The 24,208-nt window shown below is 40.8% G+C and overlaps 1 protein-coding gene across 30 annotated transcripts in view, besides 1 other annotated feature; it reads left to right on the forward strand.

The window, feature by feature from the left end:
* KIAA1217 overlaps positions 1–24,208 on the forward strand; it is an 853,117-nt gene that overhangs the window by 637,656 nt on the left and 191,253 nt on the right. The gene's annotated exons all lie outside the window — the stretch shown is intronic.
* Positions 17,055–17,114: an enhancer, noted in NCBI's record as "active region_3154". NCBI's record gives its function as "activates an Ori minimal core promoter by ATAC-STARR-seq in GM12878 lymphoblastoid cells {active_cell/tissue: GM12878}" and the evidence as "EXISTENCE:reporter gene assay evidence [ECO:0000049][PMID:35858748]".

The raw sequence follows: 24,208 nt of genomic DNA on the forward strand, positions 1-24,208 counted from the left end.
TGAAGAATGGCCTTGAAATGACAAATCTGAAGGCTTTTATGACCTGGAAGAAAATTTGGGATGGGTTGGGGTAGCAGGTGTCATCACAACATCAATTTGGAAATGGCTTGTAAGCTGTAAGGTAGCAGGTATTAGCAATGTGGTTTTAAAAAGAGCAACTCCTGTCAGACTAATGCATCCTCTCTCGGTGACAGAGTAGATGGAGGAAAAGTGAAAGATGTAACCTAGATTGATTTTAGGAGAGTTGCTAATGCGTATCCATAAGTCACACCTGTGGGACCAGAAAGAAATGATTACTTTTTGCTGTACAGCTCTTGGAGGGGCTGCCTCATTGGAGCACATGTAAAGTGTGTTTAATTAGGAATTAAATGGTCATAGTGGACTGGGTAAAGAGGGTCATATTAAGAAATGTTCTAAAGTGATCATTAATAGATCCAGTGCTCATTCAAAATGTTCCATAACCTGCAAGATGGCAGGAAACACAGAAAATGGCCAGGTCGGTGGCAGGGGTAGGAGGGAAGGAGGAATTTAGGATCAGAGGTTAAAATGATTATGATTATTTAGAGGCACAGTCAGAAATAATGTAGTAGAAGGTCACGTGAAAGGTAGAAGGGCAGGGCAGAGTATGTACTGTTTTGTGTGTGTGTGTTATTTTTTGAGACTAAGTCTTGCTCTGTCACCCAGGCTGGAGCGGGGTGGTGTGATCTCGGCTCACTGCAACCTCTGCCTCCCAGGTTCAAGCAATTCTCCTGCCTCAGTCTCCTCCCTAGTAGCTGGGATTACAAACGCCCACCACCACAGCCAGCTAATTTTTGTATTTTTAGTAAAAACGGGGTCTCGCCATATTGGACAGGCTGGTCTTGAACTCCTGACCTCAAGTGATCTGCCCACCTCAGCCTCCCAAAGTGCTGGGATTACAGGCATGAGCCACCACAGGGTACTTACTGTTTTATGGGTAAGGATTATGATGATGAATGGTTGCCTAGAAGGCCTACATGCTGAGTTTATCTGGGAGTGACATTTATTCCTCAAAGCGTATCTTTTTCATAATTTCAATTTTTATTTGGGATTCAGGGGGTATGTGTGCAGGTTTGTTGCCTGGGCATATTTCATGATGCCAAGATTTGGGTATGAGATCCCATCACTCAGGTAGTGAGCTAAAAGCAGTATAAAATGGGTTTCTTTCTTAGCCCTGTAAGTTGGTTCTTTCTTGACCAACTACCCTCTAAGGAGAGTTAAGAGAAGATCTTGTAGGTATAAAGCTAAAAATCAATAGGCTGGCCTACAAGGTCAAGTAACAAAGCACGTTGTTTTAAGCTCAGGGTCTTAGGCTTAGTGGAGCAGGGATCTGGTCTGATCCCTACAAGTAAAAGAATGATTAGAGACATTGAAAAAGCCATAAAGATGGTTAAAAGGTTGGGGAAAATAAGGCTTCCAGGCCAAACAAAACTTGAATTCAGTGTGGAAAAATGTTGAGAGATAAGTTATTAATGTTAAGTATGCAAAGAACTCCTAAAAGCACATGGATGTCAGCTGTTCTATATTTCTTTTGCTGACCAACTAAGAGGGCAAATTCTTAACTGAATGAAGCATTTGCCCTACATCAACTTGGAATAGATTTAAAAGAAGAGAGTATGACTATTACTAAACATGGAGATAAGTTAGTGGGGGAGGGTATGTGTCTCCTTCTAAGAGATCTTTAAAATTATGAGCAATTGTGGCTGGAGGATACATACATGTTATACATTTATAAAATATTTGAGTTTGGACTCAAAGTAGAAAATGAAGATGAGCCCTTTTGTCTCTTTCAACTATGCATCAAGATTAGTATTAGTTTTGGATGACTTAGTCTATTGCAAGAAAGTTTTCACTAGGGGTTGGGCATGGCGGAGCATGCCTATAGTTCCAGCTACTTGGGAGGCCAAGGCAGGAGGATTGCTTAAGCCCAGGATTTCAGATCTAACCTGGGCAATATAGTGAGACCCTGTGTCTTAGAAAAGAAAAAAAGATGAAGGAAGGAAGGAAAGATGGAGGGGTGGAGGAGGGAGGGAAGGATGGAAGGAAGGAAGGAAGGAAGGAAGGAAGGAAGGAAGGAAGGAAGGAACTTACTTGAATTGGCATTTTCCTTTTCCTATCACAACTATGCCTTCAGCTTTCTTCTAATTACCATCTAAGTCCTTATAATAAGGACTTATAAATCCTTACATCTAAGTGCCTTACAGTAGTGTATATAAATTCTTACTGTATTTGCTCACCTAACAGTCTTCTTGGTGCCTCTCAGCTCTGTGAATGAACCATGTCTACCCTGCTCACTCACCATTGTAACTCTACTTCCAACAGTGTTTGGCACATAGTCATAATATCTGCAAAATGAATGATGGATGTTGGAAGAAGTACAGCACAGAAGGTTGCAGGCTTAGAAGGTTGTCATTTATAGAATGATTTGTGGAGGCTGGAATATCACTAAGAAGTATTTCCCGATCTTTTTCATATTGTTGAAGTTGTACTCCTGGAAATATGTGTCATTTGAATTAAAGAACTTCCTCTGTAAGCATCTTCTTTTTAAATGCAAATGGAATCCACACAAAAACTCATACATGAATGTTTACAGCATCACTATTAATAGTTGCCAAAAAGTAGAAACAACCCAAATGTCCATCAACTGATGAGCTAATACACACAATGAGATCTATCTAAACAATGATACTAATACATGCTACAACATGGAGTAATCCTAAAAACATTACGCTATGGGAAAAAAGCCAGCCAGAGGACCACCTGTTACATGATTCCATGTATATGAAATGTCCCAAATAGGCAAACCCATAAAGATAGAGAAACTACACTAGTGGTTTCTTAGAGCTGGGGAGGTTAGGAGGAGATGGGGAATAACTGCTAATGGGCAAGGAGGGTTTTTTTTTTTTTTTGAGACGGAGTCTTGCTCTGTCACCCAGGCTGGGAGTGCAGTGGCACAATCTCAGCTCACTGCAACCTCCGTCTCCCTGGTTCAAGCAGTTCTCCTGCCTTAGCCTCCCTAGTAGCCGAGATTACAGGCAGGTACCACCACACCCGGCTAATGGGTATGGAGTTTTATTATGGGATGAAAAAGATGATCTAAAATTATCTGCCATGATGGCACGAGCCTGTGAATATGCTAAAAACCACTAGATTGTGTACTTTATTTTATTTAATTTTATCTTATTTTATTTATTTATTTATTTATTTATTTATTTATTTATTTATTGGAGATGGAGTCTCGTTCTGTCGCCCAGGCTGGAGTGCAGTGGCAAGATCATAGCTCACTGCAACCTCTGACTCCTGGGCTCAAGCAATCCTCCTGCTTCAGCCTCTCAGGTACCTGGGACTACAGGCATGTGCCACCACACCCAGCCACTGTAAAAAAATTTTGTAGACATAAGAGGTCTCCTAATGTTGCCCAGGCTAGTCTCAAACTCCTGGGCTCAAGCAGTCCTCCCACCTGGAACTTCCAAGGTACTGGGATTATAGGCGTCAGCCACTGCACTCAGTTGAATTGTGCACTTGAAATGGGTACATTTGGCTGAGCGCAGTGGCTCAGGCCAGGCACAGTGGCTCACGCCTGTAATCCCAGCACTTTGGGAGGCCAAGGCAGGCAAATCACCTGAGGTCAGGTGTTCGAGACCAGCCTGGCCAACATGGTGAAACCCTGTCTCTACTAAAAATACAAACAATTAGCTGGGTGTAGTGGCAGGTGCCTGTAATCCCAGCTACTCAGGAGGGTGAGGCAGGAGAATCTCGTGAACATGGGGAGGTGGAAGTTGCATGACCCGAGACCGGGCCATTGCACTCCAGCCTGGGCAACAAGAGCAAAACCCCATCTCTAATTAATTAATTACTTACCTAATTAATTTATGGGGCACTTGGCATCAAGGAGATTTCTCTAGCAAGAAAAAGAGCACAAAGAACACGTATGGTAGACAACACAAAATTCAAAATTTTTCCTACTTTTTAGTTTTGCCTTTTGCTAAGTGTGCTTAACAATTACACTTGAGAAATACCTTTTCTACAACATAAGCACTGTAGAGTGTTGCTGTTTTCCCTTAGAATGTGTGCAAACTCCTCATCTTGCACTCAGTATGTTAGGTCTGAAGTGTGGATGTCTGTGTGTGTCCTGCCCTTCACGATGTGAACCTGAGCACTATGATGCCATTCTGTTCAGCATTGTGTCTGTGTTTATTATCCCAGAACCCATGGTAGGAGGACCACAGATATTTGCTGAGCTATCTATACTTTGATATAAAGGATATAAAGACCTGGGGAGATTTTCTTTCAAGAAAGAGGGCAGACTCTATTATGAGCTTAACAGAGTTGCCTGCTTAGAATATGGTTTTTTAAAAAGTTAATACTCAAATTATTTTCAACAACAGTGCCAAGATCATTCCATTGGGAAAGGAAAATCTTTTCAACAATTGCTGTTGGGAAAACCAGATATCCACATGCAAAAAAATAAATCTGAACGCTTACCTTATGCCGTATACAAAAATTAATTCAAAATGGATCAAACATCTAAATATAAGAGCTAAAACTATAAAATGCTTGGAAGAAAATGCAGGGCAAAAGTTTCATGACATTGAATTTGGCAATGATTTTATAGATATGACAACAAAACACAGGCGACAAAAGAAAAAATAGATAAATTGGACCTCATCAAAATTTAAAACTTTTATGCGTCAAAGGACACTAACAACAGTGTGAAAAGGCAACTCACACTGTGAGATTAAATATTTGCAAATCGTACACCTGATAAGGGATTTACATTCAGAAGGTATTTTTAAACTCCTTTAATTCAACTGTAACAAGTTTTTAAAACCCAATTTAAAAATTAGGTCTAAGACTTGAATAGATATTTCTCCAAAGATGTACAAATGTCCATTAAGCACATGAAAAGATGGTTAATATCACTAGCCATTAGAGAAATGCAAATGCAAACTACAGTTAGATACATATCACACCCCATCCTAATGAGTATGAAGGAGTATCTCATTGTAGCCCTGAAAGGGTTCTGGGAAGTTGATGCTGTGCCCACATTATGTCTTCTGTGAGCTATGGCTTATATTGGGTTGGTCTGCCCATGCGCATCACACTTCATGAGAATATGACAGATCGCATTTTCTTAATCTGCAGACTTAAATGTTTTTTTGTTTGCTTTGTTTTTGTTTTGTGTGGTTTTTTTCTTTTCTTTTCTTTTCTTTTCTTTTCTTTTCTTTTCTTTTCTTTTCTTTTCTTTTCTTTTTTTTTTTTGAGACGAGTCTCATACTGTCGCCCAGGCTGGAGTACAGTGGCGCAATCTCCACTCACTGCAAACTCTGCCTCCTGGGTTCAAGTGATTTTCCTGCCTCAGCCTCCTGAGTAGCTGGGATTACAGGTGCCTGCCACCATGCCCGGCTAATTTTTTGTATTTTTAGTAGAGACAAGGTTTCACTATGTTGGCCAGGCAGGTCTTGAACTCCTGACTGCGTGATCTACCCGCCTTGGCCTCCCAAAATGCTGGGATTCCAGGCATGAGCCACCGCGCCCGGCCCGTAAACATTTTTATGTTTGCCTTTCTCCTAGTCATTTTGCCAGTTTCAGCAGTACATGGGACATTGTAATCTCTCAAAGTGTTTTCTAAATTTAACTTGAATCTGTAATCTAGAAAGCAACCAACAAATGGCCAATGCAGCATGAGTCTCAATGTCCCACCAGCCTCACTCAATTCCCCTTGAATCTTTTTGTCACCAGAAGTTCTGAGTAGTTTATGTCCCAATGTGGATGATTTTCTAGGTTCTGCCAATGCAGAGGATTATTCTAGGTTATACAGGTTATTCTAAAGAGGCCCGAGACAGCTATCCTTTTCTGAGTCCTAAGGTTGAACCCATACATATATCTATGCAGGTGCATCCTCTGGTGTCTGAAGTGCAGCTTCTTAACATCCCATTATGGGGGATCAGAATCTTAAGCAATCTTCTTAGCCCTAGACCCCCAGTCCTGAAGGTTGATATGCAAGTGGCCTGAAAAAAAATGACATTGGCTGCCCCTTGCTTCTGAAGGACTTACAGATACTCTCTAAGTCCTATAGCATGTGCACAAGTCAGAAAGCACCTCATGAAATTATTCATGCATTCAAGCTGGACTGAATTTAATCCTTCAAAGAGAGACAGCTGTCAACTTCTTAAGAAGCTGAGCATGTTTTACAGTTTTGACCTTGATACTCAAGAAATGTCTGTGTCTGACCTAAAACTTGTTTGAAATAGGTTTTCTTTTCACATAATGTAAACGTATTTGCTTTTTCCTCATTCTAGAAGCAAAACATGTTCCTTTTCAAATATTGTCAATTTGAGGCATTTTAAGATTATTTCCTTTATTTGTTTTTTTTGTGGGCTAGGAAATCTAGACAGAATTGATTATTATTATATGGATAACTTTTAAGAAAGAATAATTTCATCTTAACAGAATCATGTTGAAACTATCTTATAGAAGGATATATAGAAAAATATAAACCAAGATTCATTTCAGAAATAAATTCCATTTACATGGAGAAGGAAAATTTCGAGTCAAAGTGACTTACATTGAAATCCTGGTTTATGCATGAACTAGCAAGTTTTTGAAGCTTGATTTCCTGATCTGTAAAACTGAAGATTCCATATTTTTCTCAGTGTTACTATGTGGATTGAATAAAATATTACATGTGAAAGAACCTGATAGGTTTCTGGTATACATAGTAGCTCCCCCAAAAATGATCTCCCCCGTTCTCACACTATTTTCCTTATCTCTAATTAACCTCGTTTTGTTTTTTAAATATCCCTTTTTGGATGTCTCTTTAGTAGCACAGAAAATATGTTTCTATTGGGTTGTAATCATTACAATTCAGTCATTGAGTATATACATATATTTCCCTTTTGGGCATTGTCACCCAATTTTTGGCTATTCAAATAGATCTTCATTAATAGTTCATTAGTTATTACTTAATTTCAATATAAAGAAAATTATACTTCTGAGTGGAAGGAAATCCCATGTCACCTCTTGTAAAGAATTTACTTTCTTAGTATCAAAGTAACATGTTTGAAGCTCAGAATCAATATTACATGGACCTATTGAATTACTAGGTTCAGAAGCCAGTAAGTTCAAGGGTGAGGTGATAATCAGGAATTTTGGTGTTTGTCAAATATCCACTGTGAGCCAGGAACTAGAGCAGGTGTTGTACGTGTGTTTCCACACTTAATTTCACAACTCTCTATTAGGTATCATTATCACTGTTTTACAAGAGAGGAAATAAGGGCTGCAGAGGTTGGTTAACTCAATGAGGATAGCACATTAAGAAAGTTCTGGGCCAATGTTGCACCCAGGTCTCTCTGAGACTTTTATTATTATCCACCATTTAATTGCATTTAGGGACCATGATTATGAGGAGACATCTTTTACAATGAAGAACTTTAGTGTCCCCCCAAAGCCAATGTTAGTCTGTCTCCCAAAACAGATTCTCCCCTTTTCTTTGACTCTGTCTTCTCTCCTACTCTTCCTTGCTTGTCAGAATAACAGGTTCATTGTTGAGAGTGGGTTAGTAAATACAGCGAATTCCAAGGATTTAGAGTGTTGCGAAGTCAGGAAAGAAGACCTGCTGCAGGCTGTGTGGTTCTGTGGGGAAGGAAAAGGATGTCTAACCATCCAACTGGGACCTGATCTCTTGGCCATTTGGGACTGGGTAGGAGAATGGCTAGACTGACAGCCCTGTGATTTGGCCCTTTTCCTTTGGAGGGGTGTGAATCTGATGCTGTAACAATTTCTGCCTTCTGTTGGTGGTATGGCTTGGCCGTGTCCCCACCCAAATCTCATTTTGAATTGTAGCTCCCACAGTTCCCATGTGTCGTGGGAAGAACCCGGTGTGAGATAATTGAATCATGGGGGCAGCTTCTCCCATACAGTTCTCCTAGTAGTGAATAGGTCTCACGAGATCTGATGGTCTGATAAAGGGTTAACCCTTTCACTTGCCTCTCCTTCTCTCTTGCCTGCTGCCACGTAAGCCATGCCTTTCACCTTCCACCATGATTGTGAGGCCTCCCCAACCACTTGGAAGTATGAGTCCATTAAACCTTTTTTTCTTTAGAAATTACCCAGTCTTGGTATGTCTTTATCAGCAGCGTGAAAACAAACTAATACAGCCGGTTAATATCCCTGCAGTTCCCTCCACCCGCATCTCTTCCCTCCACCCACATCTCTTCCCTCCCTCCTCTGTAGCATCCATCACAGGACTAAAGCCAGACAAGGCTCCGCTGGCACAAGCAGAGCAATTCATTGTGAAGTTTACTCCTGAGAGTTTTCTTCTGCTTTAAACTGCCACAGAAAGAACCGTCTAGACAGCTACCTCATGTAATTGACTGCCCCACGTTTAATAGAATGATCTTTTCTTCTGAGATGTCAACCTCATAAGGAATCATAAAGTTCACTTGGAAATTATTTTCAAGTGAGCAGAAATGCCTCAGCATTTGATCCAGTTTTCTAGTGGATGGGAATATTCTTTGAATGTGTGTGAGCACGTGCACGCTTGTAAATGTGTCTGACACATGTTATGCGCCGATAGTTCTCCGTCATGTAATCCTGAGAAATGCGAATTTTTTCTCTCTGATTGCTTTGCTTTCCTTCCCTATAGATACTGTGTTGTACTCAATAGGCTGCCAAGTCCATATGGATTAGATCTGCTTGTTATCCTTTTACTTCTCCTGTCAAAATAACCATCACAGTGCAAAAGGAAAACCAAGAAATGCATTCTCCCCGGGCTGAAGTTGGACTCAGTGCCCAGCTTGCAAATGAACTCTTCTTATTTTCTTTCTTTCTAGAGGCATTCCACAGTGGTATATGATAGGATTCCCTTTTCCATGTCTTCTATGTACAGGCAAAGTCGTGATTAAATCCTTCATTGGGATGGAAATCAGTAGGTCAGTTGGAAGATTGTCAAGCCAAGATGATTCTTTCTCTTCCGGTCCTAAAAAAAAAAAGACCTCATGAATTGTTTTTATTTAAATTGGATGTTTTGTTAATCTCTATCTGGAGTTGAATTCTCCTTTTGCCTTTCTTTTCATTGGAGACTTGATGTTCATTTCATTATTTCTACTTGTAGATACGTATAGTATCTCCTCTATTTGAGCCCAACATTCCTTGGAAAATTTTATGAAGTTGAATCAGGGAAACGAAGTGTATTTCCTTTTATACTCTGCGTCATAGCCAAAGACTCCTTTAATACTTACTTTAATGAACTGAGGTTGTAATTTAGATTTCTTCAGTGTAGCTTTTAGAGCAAAGAGCATGAAACTGGTTTTCAGGAGATCTAGAATTTCCCACTGGCTTTCCAACTGCTAACTAATAGCCTTAGACAAGCCATTGAACTTTTATTAGTTCCAATCTCTTAAATGTAGGAGTTGAAGTGGGTGGTTTCAAAGATTCCTTTCAGCTTCCAAATTCTGGAACTCTGGAAAAAAAAAAAAGATAGCCACATAGACTTGGAATATCGTCATGTGTTCCTAAAGTATCATCTTTTATAATAATTGATGTTGTTTGAAAAGAGTGTTGATATACAGATCTTGGACAAATAATTAAAATTTAAGGAAGTCTACCAGACTGTCCTTGCTAGCATGAAATTATGCCTGAAGGCATAGCACTGTGGCCTTTGCAGCCAGAGGGCTTGTTTTAGAAGTACAGTACACTGTACACGTCCTAGTCACTGGGGAGCTCTGTGTACAAATACACACAAGGCCATGGTCACAGAGAGCAACAGTCACAAACATAAATTCAGATGTGTGAACAAGACAATTGAGAAACAAATCATTGTCATTTAAGCTTAAACTTTTAAATCAGAGAGACCTACCTCACATACTTGTCCAATTTAGTAGAAGACTGTGACAACAGAGAAAATGGCAGCTGACAGCAGAAACAGGACTGATTTTTTTAATTAAAAATTTCAAATTAAATGTAATATATGTACATGGAAAAACTTCATACGTTAAGCTGTGCACACAATCACAAAGTTAAAAGCTTCTACCTTCAATTCTCAATCCTCCTTTCTAAAATTAACCATTGTTATTCATTTTTTGTTAGATCCTTTCCTCAAATGGCATATGCATATCCCAGTAGATAGATGCATGGCTTATGTGAACATTTATAAAAATTATAATAATCTACAGTTACTCTGTATGTCGCTTCTCCACTTAGTGATGCATCTTCAAGGTACTTCACATTAGCTCATGCAGATACAACTCAATTTTTTTTTTTTTTTTTTTTTTTTGAAACAGAGTCTCACTCTGTCGCCCAGGCTGGAGTACAGTGGCGCAATCTCGGCTCACTGCAACCTCCGCCTCCCAGGTTCAAGCGATCCTCCTGCCTCAGCTTCCAGAGTAGCTGGGACTACAGATGCATGCCACCACATCCGGCTGATTTTTTATTTTTAGTAGAGACAGGGTTTCACCATCTTGGCCAGGCTGGTCTCGAACTCCTAACCTCGGGGATCCGCCGACCTCTGCCTCCAAAAGTGCTGGGATTACAGGCGTGAGCCACTGCACCCGGCCGACTCAGTTTTTAATGATTACATTGTTTACCATCATATGAATTATCATTTACTAAATCAGTTCCCTATGCTAATTTAAATGATTATTTTTCTAGTTTCTGTCTTTCTCTAACTGCAACTCCTGCATTTCCATCTTTATCCAATTTCTTACGAAGGCAAAGCTGCACTGGATGGTCTGTTCATATATCTGGGTATTTTTTTCCACAGGATAACTTTCTAAAGGTAGAATTGATTGTTCAAAATGTTTACAAATCTTACCAGAAATGTTAGACCTATTTGGATATATATAATATTCTGCAACATATAAGAATGCTAGTTGATAGTTGCTATCCTGTATATTAACTTTTTAAAAGTTTTGCTAACCCAATGAGTAAAAAAAGCTCATTGTTTTGATTTACATTTTTATAATCATTGACGTTAGAGTATATTTTCCTATATTAGTTAGTCAATTTTGTGTTTGTGCGAAGCTCCAGTTTGTGTTTTTACCCATTTTTAATTGGATGATGAGGTTTTTGGGGGGTATTTTTAGACCACTTCATAAATTAAGGAATTAACTTTCACACTTTATGCAAATATTTCTCCAGTTGTTAAAGTTTGCATGTATTTTTCCCATAGAAATTTAAAATTTTCATGCAATCAACCTCAGAAATCTTTCCTCTCATATTTCTGCCTCTGGAATTGTATTTTTAGAAAGAACTTCCCTGTCCTAATATTACATATTAAGCATTGTTTGTGTTCTATACTAGTGCTCTTAGAGTTTAGCTTCCTTACGTTGTAATATTTGATCCTTCTACAGTTTATTTTGAGGCAAGGAGTTTGATAGAGATCTAGCTTTCTTTCTTTTGCCAAGTGGCTAGTCAACAGTACCACTACCACGAACTGAATAATTAATCTTTTCCCTTGTTGATTTGAAATGCCACTTTGTGAGATCCAAATTTCTGCCTGTGTTTGGGTCTGTTTCTGAACTCTATGTTTCATTCCATTGAGCTGTTTTTCCGTCTCCAATTCTACGATGTTTGAGTGACTATATTTTTAGTTATGGGCCATGCAGGGGGAAGATTTGCAAAATTGGTTGCTCAGTTCACTGTTTTGAAACTGCTTAATGAAGAGGCCTCTTTGTTTCCATTTTCTCTATTAACACCAGAATTAGTGTTCACGATGACATTGTATCATCCAAAAAGAATTAATTTTGCCCTTATAATAAGCTTAACAAGATTGAATATAAACAAAATTTTAAATAAATAAGATAATGTTAAAAATAGCATCTAGAAGGATATTTTTAAATGTCTTATCTGGAAATCTCACTTCTGGGACAGCGTTCAATAAATCTACTGTACCTACTCACACACACATTTGTAGACAATCAGACAGAAAACTGTTCGTATTTCTTGCGCTTTGTCTTTTAGAATGTGGCACATCGAATAGAGTTACCAGTTGCCCTGATCTGACTGATTTCGTATAAATGTCTTTGCTTTGGCAACAGTTGAGACCTATTCCTTCTCTGAGGTAAATCTTCTTGCAGAGCAGGAAGTTGAGGTTTTGGGGTAGAGTCCAAGAGTCAGTTCTGACCTTATTATTGGGGAATGTGGAAACCTAAAGCCTTCCATGAGTTAATAATGTGCACAGTGAAGGATTTTTTTCCCTCCTGAACTGATTGGGTATTTTCTAAAAGAGGATGAGCTTTTAATAACAGGAATGTAACTTTTAATTTTAAACAGATCTGTGCTTAAACATGGTCAGGGAATAGCCCCTGCTCAAAAATCTCCTTATTTGTACATGTTATTGTTCAAGGGAGAGACCTTCCTATTTATATGGCGAGAAAATAAATGAGATTTCTTTCTATCTGTCTTCCATATGTTTAATGGTAGGAATGTGTCTTGGATCTTGAATTAAAACAGACTGTGGATTCAGTTAGTTGATACAATTAAGAACTGTTCTTATCTCAGAATCAACTCTGCAGACTATCTCAGAGAATCCAATATCAACCATCCAGGTGGCTAATCCATCATCAACTGAATGGGCAATTTGGTTGCTTCTGTTCAATTGAACAAAGAGGCATAGGCACTCGTTAGTTCCACACCCCAGTCAGAGAAGCAACATGGGTGTGTGACAAAAGGGGTATATAGTCTGTTCTTTGGCTTCAGATATGAAAAAGCTTTTTTCAATCCAACTAATTCAAGACACCAAGCATAGTGATTTCTTCACTGACAGTTAGCATTGAAAATGAACTTCATTTTCCTCCTAACACACACAAAAAAGGGGGTGGTAGAAGCCACGGCAGATCATGGCAGATGGCACTTAGGGACAGCTGTAGTGCTTGGCTTGAGTTCCCCTCCGCATGGAGCACAGAGCTGCCCACTTCGTAGGAATACGGCAATATTTATCTACGCATAGGAGTCATTCCAAATAAAAAGGGTAACAGAAAGAAATTGCAGCCTACTGCTGTGAGCCTATCCAAAGGGTATCCATACATAGCCCAACATTTGAGGTAAGGGCATGGTTTAAGATCTCAAGGAATCAAAACATTATGGAAACACTAACGGGACCATTAGAATAAATGAATGAACCTAAGATCTTCAGTCCGACTTGATTGAGTGCAGATCCAGTCCCCTTTGGAGAGAGTTGTTAAGATAAGACTTAACTGTGACTAAATATACAGGCAAGGAATTGCCTCTGCAACACAAATAAGAAGCTTAGAATAATTTGCCATTTGAACTTTCCTTATATAGTTAGATACTTTGTAGAGAAACCTAGGCTAGGAGTTGGTGATTTTTTTTGGGTGGGGGGGTCGCTTTTTTCCCCCTTTCTCATTTTATTCATTTGACTATCGGCAACTTTACGATTTTTTAAATTGTAGTAAAATACACATAACGTAAAATTACCATCTTAACCATTTTAAAGCGTACAGTTCCGTGGTGTTAAGTATATTCACATTGTTATGCAACCAATCTTCAGAACTTTTTCATCTTGTAAAACTGAAACTCTATCCATTCAACAACAGCTCTCCATCCCCGCCATCCTCCCAGCCCCTGGCAACCACCATTCTACTTTCTGTCTCTGTGAGCTTGACTATTCTAGACAACTCGTTTAGGTAAAATCATAAACCTACTGAAAGTGTTTGGGTTTTTCTATGTGACTGGTTTATTTCACTTAGCACAATGTCCTCAAGGTTCACGTATGTGGCAGCATGTGTCAGAATTTCCTTTTTAAGGCTTAATAATATTCTGGCCGGGCACCGTGGCTCACACCTGTAATCCCAGCACTTTGGGAGGCCGAGGTGTGGGCGGATCACCAGGTCCGGAGATCGAGACCATCCTGGCTAACACAGTGAAACACTGTCTCTACTAAAAAACAAAATACAAAAATATTTGCTGGGCATGGTGGCGGGCACCTGCAGTCCCAGCTACTTGGGAGGCTGAGGCAGGAGAATGGCATGAACCCAGGAGGCGGAGCTTGCAGTGAGCCGAGATCGTGCCACTGCACTCCAGCCTGGGGGACAGAGCGAGACTCCGTCTCAAAAAATAATAATAATAATATTTCTTTGTATGTCTATACATTTTGTTTATTCATTCATCTGTCAAAGGACATTTGGTATTTTGGGTTTTGTTGGCCCTTTTTTTTTTTTTTTTTTTTGGAGGCAGAGTCTTGCTCTGTCACCAGGCTGAAGTGCAGTGGTGTGATCTCAGCTCACTGCAACCTCCGCCTCCTGCATTCAAGCGATTCTTGTGCCTCAGCCTCCCAAGTAGCTGGGACCACCAGGTGTGCACCACCACACCCGGCTAATTTTTGTATTTTAGTGGAGTTGGGGTTTTGCCATGTTGGCCAGGCTGGTCTCGAACTCCTGACCTCAAGTGATCCTCCCACCTTGGCCTCCCAAAGTGCTGGGACAACAGGCATGAGCCACTGCAACCAGCCAGGTTTTGTTGGCTTTTAATCAAGATAATATGCAAACACTACTTTTGTCCATCTGATGATGTCTCAACAAAGCCATTTTAGAATCTGAAGATACTTCCTCATTAAATTGTTACTATTGTTAATAACCGAGTGTTGGCTTAGTGAGTGTTAAGGTATATAAGAGTAGTCCAAATAAATGGCATAGAAATAAATGACAGTGATTAATCACTCACTAGTCTGATACCTCATAGCTTCCTTACTTCAAGTTTAGGCAGGTGCAGGAGTCATGAAAAAAAGCCAAAAGATAAAGGTCGCAACCACTTGGTGAGGAATGTTTGCTTTCTTGAAATGATAGCCCTCTACCCAGCACCATGAAAAGTGTGTTTTTCGTGGTCATTTTCAGGCCTCTAAGCTTGAGGTGTGGGTTTATATTCTGAAGGATGCAGTGCGTGATCTTTCTCACCAAACTCTCTCAAATACTGCACTGGATAAACACTCAGAGGACTGGAAAGTGGGACTGGAAGGAGCCATTGAGATTTTTTTTACATCCTCTTGTCCTGGAGTACTTTCCTTCCTCTACACTTTCCTTACATTTCTCAGAGAAAAAAAGAAAAACTTTGTCATTTTTGTATTACAAACGTGCCAGCTTTGACTACCCTTGACACTAGGTAAGTGGGAGATTAATTGTTGGGATTATACCCATGGAAAAAGCCATAAGGCTTACATCACAAGTTTTATTTTTTTTAATATTTTGTTTTCATAGCTGGGGATTACTCTATTGGCATTCAGGGAGAGAGAATGAAAAAATATACTAGGATAAAAAAGGGAGTACTAATTAAAACTACAAAAGCAATGCAAACATACATTAAAAGATACAACAAATTCCATGCCAGTTTCGTGAAGAAATGCTTTGAGGTTTTTTTCCCCCCAGCTTTATTGAGTATAATTGACAAATAAAAAATGCATATATTTAAGGTGTATGACCTGACAATTTCATATACAAATACATTGTGAAATGGTTACCACAATCAAATTCATGAATATATCCATCACCACACATGGTTACCATCCTTTGAGTTTTAAGGTGAATTAATGGAATGCGTGTCATTCATATGCATATTCATATGCATGTCATTTGCATACCATTCCTTGACTCAAGAAAGTTGCTATATGAGTGAAAGATAATTATTGATCATATGAACTTAAGATACAATTATTCTCATCTGGCCAGGTGCAGTGGCTCACGCCTGTAATCCCAGCACTTTGGGAGGCAGAGGCAGGTAGATCACTTGAGGTCAGAAGTTTGAGACCAGCCTGGCCAACTTGGTGAAACCCCATTACTGAAAATACAAAATTAGCTGGGCATGGTGGCACATGCTTACTTGGGAGGCTGAGGCAGAATCGCTTGAACCTGGGAGGCAGAAGTTGCAGTGAGCCAAGATCACACCACTGCACTCTAGCCTGGGTGACAGAGTGAGACCCTGTCACAAAAATAAAATAAAATGAAATAATTATCCTACAAGAATTACCAGTAAGTATACTTCTAAAATAGATCTTACTCTAGTTCATTCCAATACTCACATAATACAACTATATATTAAATGGTGAAAATATCATTGCAGATAAATTCTAAATGAAAATAAATCCTAATATGTAATCCATTAGGAAATAAAATTCTAAATTTAATTCTACAAATTACTTTGTGATTTTGATAAAATTTACCTAAAGATACAGGGAAGATTTTAAATTTGTTTAAAAATGGGAAGTTAGTAAAATCTTGAGGATAAAGAAGAAATGTATACATATCAGGCAAGCCCACCACTGCATGTTCCATAGAATCTTACAGATAATGGATCTCAAGAATAAGCAGGCTAAATTTTCACACCCATCCCCCAAGTAGCTGAATCATTGGGGATTTTCTTTTGGAGAAATTTAGGGCCCTAGCAAAGAGTAGATAGCGTTCTGAGCAAGTTACTACTCCCAAGGGTTGGCCCAAGCATTCAAAAACAGCTGGGGGCTGGGCACAGTGGCTCCTGACTATAATCCCAGAGTTTTGGGAAGCCAAGGTAGGAAGATCATTTGAGACCAGGAGTTCAAGATTAGCCTGGGCAATATAGTGAGAATCCCATTTTTCTACAAAGAAATTTAAAATTTTGCCTATAGTTTCAGCTAGTTGGGAGGCTGAAGTGGGATCACTTGAGCCCAGGAGGTAAGGCTGCAATGAGCCATGATCATGTCATGCCTCTGCACCCCAGCCAGGGCAACAGAATAAGACCCTGTCTCAAAAAAAAAAAAAAAAAAAAAGAGAGATTGAGATCTGAGATCTCATATTTTTGTAGCAGGTTACACTGAGTGTTAATGGATGCATGATGTTAACTTACTGATTTTGTTTGTGAAGAACATATAACCTGGTTATTTGAAAGAAAAAACCATGACTACCAGAATGAACCAATGTGTAATATAGAAACAATCCCTCTGGCTTTGATCCCCTAACATCTGTGTGTCCTCTGGCAAGATTTTTGAGTACAGGTTGGAGAATGAGCAAAGCAAAGGTATTTGTTGGACACCAACTAGGCATCAGACACTGAAGTTATTTTAGTTACTCCTGACCACAACTCTGCATAAGCTACAGGGTGGTTTTCCCATTTTACAGACAAGAAGACTGAGCCTCAATCAGGCCATTGTTTGGCAGACAGTACATCTAGGACAGCCTGTTTCCAAGCCTGTGCCCTTTGCAAAACACCTTCTTTTGCCTGGCCAGCTTGATGGAGGCTCTTATAACCTGAGGCTATGGTGTGCTGGTGGGATTGTAAACATTAGAAAGTACATGCCAAGAACCGAAAGCCATTAAGGAAAATGAGTCACTTTCTGGATGCATTGAACATCTTTAGATTATGAGAGCTTCGTGAAGAAATAAAGTACAGAAATGATTTTTCTTCTTAAAAAGAAAGGAATATCTCTCTGGAGTAGAGATTGTTGGCAAGTTCATGTATAATCATGGTCAGCAGAAAAGAAATCTAAGCAGTAATGAAAAGCTTGTGTACTCAGAATGCCTTTAACCCAGTGAGCTGAAGAGCAGGCCTTTGGGGGAATGACGTTGGATGGAGGTGGAGTTGGGACAGGAATAGAATCCTGGTCCTGGAGGGAAAGACAGGTAAAAGAAAGTGAGACCATTAAAAGCAGGCATGATGCATGGTTACTCTTCATCCCTGGGTAAGGTGGTATAAATTGCTTTTGTTTTGCCCCCGTCCCCCAAATCATTTTTTTAAAGAAAGAGAAGAAAATATTTTTGAGGGAACTCATTACCTTTTGGCTTGAGGCATAGAAGCCTCAGAAGCTGAAAGCAATGTTATATTTTTATATGCTGCAGATGCTTCCTGGTTTTAAAACAGTGACCTGGCTCCCCAACAATTACAGCATCAACATTGAGGGAGAACATTCTTGTGTATCGTGTAATTCCAGGAGCAGATGTGGGGTAGCCTTTACGAAATTAGGAGGAGGGGAGGCAGTCTGGTTTAGATCGTGAACTACCCAAAGGAAAGTTACTTGGCATGACTTCGATTGTGTGTTAAGATAATTTTTATTGTGTTCTAGTTCTCAGACAATATCATAGATAACCTCTTTTGCCTGGGTGCATTTTGAAAGGTCTTTGTGTTGATTATCTGCTTTTGATGTGTTTTCATGATCCGTTCAGACTACCCAAGCCATAAAACATCAGTAATTAAGAAAAACTCTCCCTGTGGAGAAGAATCAAGAAGATTCTACTTCTTTTATTTAATTTTTAACATATCTAAAGGAATGCAGTAAACTCTTTTTACCCATTAGTAATTGACTTTGAAACAGGATATGCCTTTCCTCTGGAGTCTACAAGTAAGTCTCGAGAGAAACTTCATAAAACAGATTGATCCTAAACTTCCCTCCTGCATTCATGGGAGTTAGCTGACAGGAAATACACAGTGCGAGGAAGTGGTGAGTGAGAGAAAAAAAAAAAACAGCTAACTGATAAGATCTTAATTGCAAGGGTCGTTTTCATGGTGGATCATACCTAATAGGTCATGTATTTCAACAGTTTTTTTGGAAAAGTGATTATGCATCTTTTTTTTTTATTATTTTCTGAGGCAGAGTCTCATTCCGTCACCAAGGTTGGAGTGCAAGTAGTGTGATCTCGGCTTACTGCAACCTCCGCCTCCTGGGTTCAAGCAATTCTCATGCCTCAGCCTCCCAAGTAGCTGGAATTACAGGCATGCGACCATACGCAGAGCTAATTTTTGTATTTTTAGTAGAGTTGGGGTTTCCCCATGTTGGACAGGCTGGTCTAAAACTCCTGACCTCAAGTGATCCGCCCACCTCGGCCTCCCAAAGTGCTGGGATTACAGGTGCAAGCCACCATGCCTGGCCAGTGATTATGCGTCTTGTAAACGAATTTTTGGGGTCTAACTTTTCCAAAATTTCTATCTGGTTTTCTTTCTTCCCTTCTAAGAGTCTGTATCTTCTTCCCTGCCCTGGGCTTTATTCTTTTCTAGAGATCCTGGCAGTCATTATGACCATGCCCTTTATGGCACATCCAAGGTCAGTGTTCATGCGTGTCCTCCCTCGTTCATTCCCTAGTATGGGTGGATATAGCTGTGTTACATGCTGAATCCTGCTACCCACTGTGCAATGGAGGGGTCAGAGTCTTGTGGAAGGAGAGCTGGAGAGCCAGGGAGAATACAGGACTTTTCTTCACCTTGGGTTGAGGCAGAACTCATGAAAAACAATGAAGCAAGGAATAATTTCGTTTTGCACCCGTTTTTTTCGTTTATGGACCCCATTTCCTGCATCTTAGCAAAATCTCTCCTCAAAAAAATGTTCTAGATTAGTAGTAGTAAATTGATCTATCTGATGGGGCTGCTGTTGGATCTCTCCGAGCCATGTTTGAACTTTTAATAATGAAGTCCACAGTCCCTGCATAGCTTACCAAGCAACTGTGGATTTGCAGGGTGCGGCCAGCAGGTTGCTGGAGCGAGATGGGCTCCCAGTTCCCCTAACATCACTCTCCACCCTCCACAGTCTATCCACAAGCCACCACCCTGCTGCTCACAGGTCTGACCCTCCCCTGTGGTTGATGGGCAGGACAGGACTCTACATATGCCGGTGTCTGTTAACACAATGGGGAACCCACCAGAGATCCCTCACACAGGATCACTTTTCTGGCTGGGCTGTTTTTCCTCATCTTTCATCAGTGAGTGTTGGCCGTCAGCGTGGCACTCTTCACACCCAAGTGAAGCCTGCCTTTCCCCTCTGCCACATTGCAGTCTCTGCTGGGGTGGAAAAGAGGTCAGCAAATGAACTCACAATAGTGCTAAGCATTGGATTAAGCTTTCACCATTAGTCTTTTCAGCTGACCCAAGAATTGCATTGTGAATGGGGAGGTGGGGTGACTCACTGAGTAATCCTTTAAAGAGTCCATTGGAAGCCAGTCTTCTTTCAAATGTTTCACATGGAATAATCGTGAATATTTTTGCATGGATGTGCAATTAATTGCAAAGTATGTATGTATACTTTAGGTGGAAACTTAAAAACCTTCCTTTGCCATTCTCATAAATGGGCTTGCTGATCTGCCTATTATAGATTATGGTGGCCAAAGCACCACCCTTCTATTAAAAAGTATAATCTTTTTTTTTGTTGTTGTTAACCAATCAAATGTTCCATCTGTTTAGACTCCGCTGTCTGCTCTGGATTTTAGAACAATGCAGTCAAGGTTATTCTTGCTCAGTAATCTTGCCTTGAAAAAGTGAGTTACTGTTCCCAGAGGCAAAGGCACTGCTTCTTGATGACAGGCAAGTGGGATTTATTAGCTTTGTGAAGGAGGTGGGAGGGCATCGTGATACTTGGTAAATTATGAGAGGGGCTGGGGAGACCATGTCAAAAAGAAAGGGATTCCTTGCCAGATGTTCCTAAGAGTTGAATTACCATGGAGAAAATAATCTGAAAATATGAGTGACCTCGACTTTGTCCTAAACCCCCATGGCTTAAAGTGCAAGCGAAAGGAGGGAATGTGGCTTTATAGGGGCTTGCAGGTAGATGGAGGGTGGGTGGGGGTGGTGTCAGGTCAGTTCCTTATGGGCTTCCCTAAGTCAGTGCTGGAGAGCAAAAAGAGTGTTGAGGCCTCCCGAGAACGCTAGAATGACCCCACATCCCTCTACATCAGCTTTAGACCCACAGCAGCCTCCTAGGTCTTCTAGGTGGAGGCTGAGATAGAGATGTTCTATCCTGAATATGTTCAGACAAGCCAGGGGCACTCATATAGGTGGTGCGGTTTCCTGTTTTGCAAAGGACAGGAGATAGAGCCACCCAAGCAGATGTCCCAGATGAAAATGGCTGTGAAACGACAGTGTCACCTTAATATCCATTTGGACCTCATTTATGGGAAAAGCCACCTTTCCCACACCACTATATTTTGTTTGTTACAATCTCTGTTTGTCCTTCTCTTTCAAACATATTTCTCATTAGATTTATTCCATCGCATATTTTCAGCTTGTTTCTGTGAAGTTCCGACAGGAGGGGTGTTCCAGGAAGCTCCGCGGTACCTTTTATTTTATTTTACTTTATTTTTGCCCTTCTCCTGGAAGAGCACTTGGTAATCTTCTTAAATGCTTTTTGAAAGCCTTTTAATGACATCACTCAGTGCCCCGCTGATCACTCATGAACTGCAGTTGTACACCAGCTCCAAAAGTTCCATATTTATGATGATAAACAAGAGCTGTAAGATTTCTAATTTTGCTGAGGGGCTATTTTCCCTCTCTCTCTTGATGTGACTCAGTTTTTCAGTGTAGGGCCAGAGGCTGTTTGTGTACTCAGAGACGATGTTTTCAACTTTTTGCTCTTGATTTTTCCAGGCAATTAGCAAAGTCTTTTTAGAGTGGAATTGTTATGAGCATACATTCTATTTTAATTCATTGTAATTAGAGGGATGAGCATTACACTTCTTCAAGAACTCCTAGAAGTCAATGTTCTGATTTCCAAAGATCAAAATCTTATTTTATGAGCAAAAAATGTGACTAGATATGAAAAATGACAATCAGTAATATTCCTCCAGCTGGCAGAGTGTATGAACTCCACTTGTGATTTCAAAATCATGCTGCAGAGCTGTAGCTGGGTTTTCTGATGGTTTCTCCACGGATTATCTTCCTCAAATACAATGTTAAAAATAATAACTTGTCACTGTGGCCCTCAGTTTGGTTGTGTTTATTATAAAGAAGATTGAACATATGAACTGCCAATTGATGATGGCCCATGTTCCTGGTCTGTTTAAGTAACATCAAGTCATCTTTGAATTTAAGAAATGGTAGCATTCTCTTATTTGATTGCTATTAGCCCTGAAATGGAACTGTCCAGAATAGTATTTGTGAAATGGCAGAGTTCCCGGACCCCCCTCACAGGACGTGAGACAGGGGTGTGGCTAGTCTATCTGGCCACCTAGTGAGCACTCAAACCCCTTACAGGAGGGGGAGCATGCAGATGGGCAGGTGCAGGAGCCGGGGCAAGTGCTTTTGGACTCTGGCCCCACAGTAGCATCTAGGGGTGGGTGCCTGCAACTCTCAAAGCTGCAGTGGGCATGTTACCATGCTCTTTTAGCTCTGCCATCTGCACACAGCTTAAGTGTTAACCAGCTCAGTGCCCTCTTGGTATCCAAGTCCTTGTCCTGCATCCAGGAAGAATCAGGTCACACAGACAAACTGAAGGATGGTAAATGCGGGGGATTTTATTGCCTCATCAAGGTGGCTCTCAGCAGGATGGAGTGGGAAGATGATCTTCCCCTGGAGTTCAGCCATCCTGAAGCCAATCTCCTCTCTCACCATTCCTAGCCAAACTCCTCTCAGCATTCAGATGTTCCTTCTCTTCTCTCCTCTGCTCCTCTGCTCTTCTGCTCCTCTGCTCTTCTGCTCATGGAGCCTGGGGCTTGGGGTTTATATGGGTACAGGATAGGGAGGCATGGCAGACCAAAAGGCAACATTTGGGCACAAAAACAGGAATGCCCGTTCCCATTTAGGGCCATGGGTTTCCAGACTTGAGGGTGGGGCTTTTGCCAAGGAACCACCCTCTTCTACCCAGTATTTCCCTGCCTCCTGTCCATGTCATTTGTACAAGAAAACATTTTTCTCCCAGTAAAGCTTATCAGTTTTCACAGAATAATTGTCAGCCCCTAAAGTATTTTTGGCTGTCTCCAGAGGTTAGTAGGTAAGAAGCTTGAAGATGAGGCCAGAGTTCAGCATTGAGCTGTCCCAGGTGACACAGACTGGTGAGGGCAGGCAGGTTGGCTGAACTCAGTCCCTGGAGCTTGGGGCCAGAGGAGGTTGCAGCTGTGTAAGCAGGTGGGCTTCAGCCCCTCAGGATAGCAAGTCTCACAGCCAGGGATGCAGATGCTAACATCTGTCACATTGTCTTCAGTGGTTTATTATCTTAGTTTCAGCTGCTGCAACCAATACCATCGACTTGGGGGCTTAAATGACAGGGATTTATTTCTCATAGTTCTGGAGGCTAGAAGTCCAAGAGCAGGGTGCCAGCATGGTCAGGTTCTGGTGACAACCCTCTTTCTAGTTGGTAGACCTCTGTCTTCTTGCTGTGTCCTCATATGGCAGAAAGAAAGCATCTGTCTCATGTCTCTTTTTAGAAGGACACTAATCCCATCACAAGGGCTCTACTCTTGTGACCAAATCACACCCCAAAGGCCTCACTTCCAAATACTATCACATTGGAGATTAGGGCTTCAACATGTAAATTTGGGGTTGGGGGGCACTCACATTCAGTTCATGGCACTTGTGAACTGAAGCCAAGTGTTGTAGGTCTTCTGTCGCCACAGCTGAGCAGGCTGAGATGAGCATAGCAAGTCCTCACTCTTTTTTTTTTTTTTTTTTTTTTTTTTTTTTTTTTTTTTGAGACAGAGTCTCACTCTGTCTCCCAGGCTGGAGTACAGTGGCCCGATCTCGGCTCACTGCAACCTCCACCTCCCGGGTTCAAGCCATTCTCCTGCTTCAGCCTCCCCACTAGCTGGGACTACAGGTGTCTGCCACCACGCCCGGCTAATTTTTGTATTTTTAGTAGAGACGGGATTTCACTATATTGGTCAGGCTGGTCTCAAACTCCTGACTTTGTGATCCACCCGCCTCGGCCTCCCAAAGTGCTGGGATTACAGGCTTAAGCCACCACACCTGGACAGCAAGTCCTCATTCTTTAGCAGCAGAACATTTTAGGGTCTCTTCTCTTTCTTTTGTGCATAACTTAAGTTTCTTCTCCTTAATGATAACATCATTGCTTTATTATTTTTAGAGCTTTATAGTTAACAGTGCTTTCAACCAGTTTGCTTCATTTGTGCTTCCTGGAGACCACTGTGAAGTAGGTGGGATGATTATTGCCATTCTGCAGATGCAGAAATTGAGGGTCATGGTTTAGTTGCCCCAGTACAAAGCCTGATGCTGGGTTAAGTAATTTATTCAAAGTAAAACAGCATCGAATGCTGAATCTACATCTTGAACCCAGGTCCTTCTGACCGCAGGTCCTTCCCATGGGTATTTAGAGATTTGCAAAAAGCACTTAGAGCTCCTGCCCATTAGTCTAGGCCTTCCTTGATAATAACCTTGTGGGGGAGACCTCTAGTGTGGCCAAGGATGTTAGGAGGTTGCCGTGGTTTCAGTGTGTCCCCCAAAGTTCATGTGTTAGAAACTTAATCCCGAATGCAACAGTGTTGAGAGTTGGGACCTA

The sequence above is a fragment of the Homo sapiens genome, chromosome 10 (assembly GCF_000001405.40).
Source record: "Homo sapiens chromosome 10, GRCh38.p14 Primary Assembly".
In the NCBI taxonomy this organism is placed as follows: domain Eukaryota; kingdom Metazoa; phylum Chordata; class Mammalia; order Primates; family Hominidae; genus Homo; species Homo sapiens.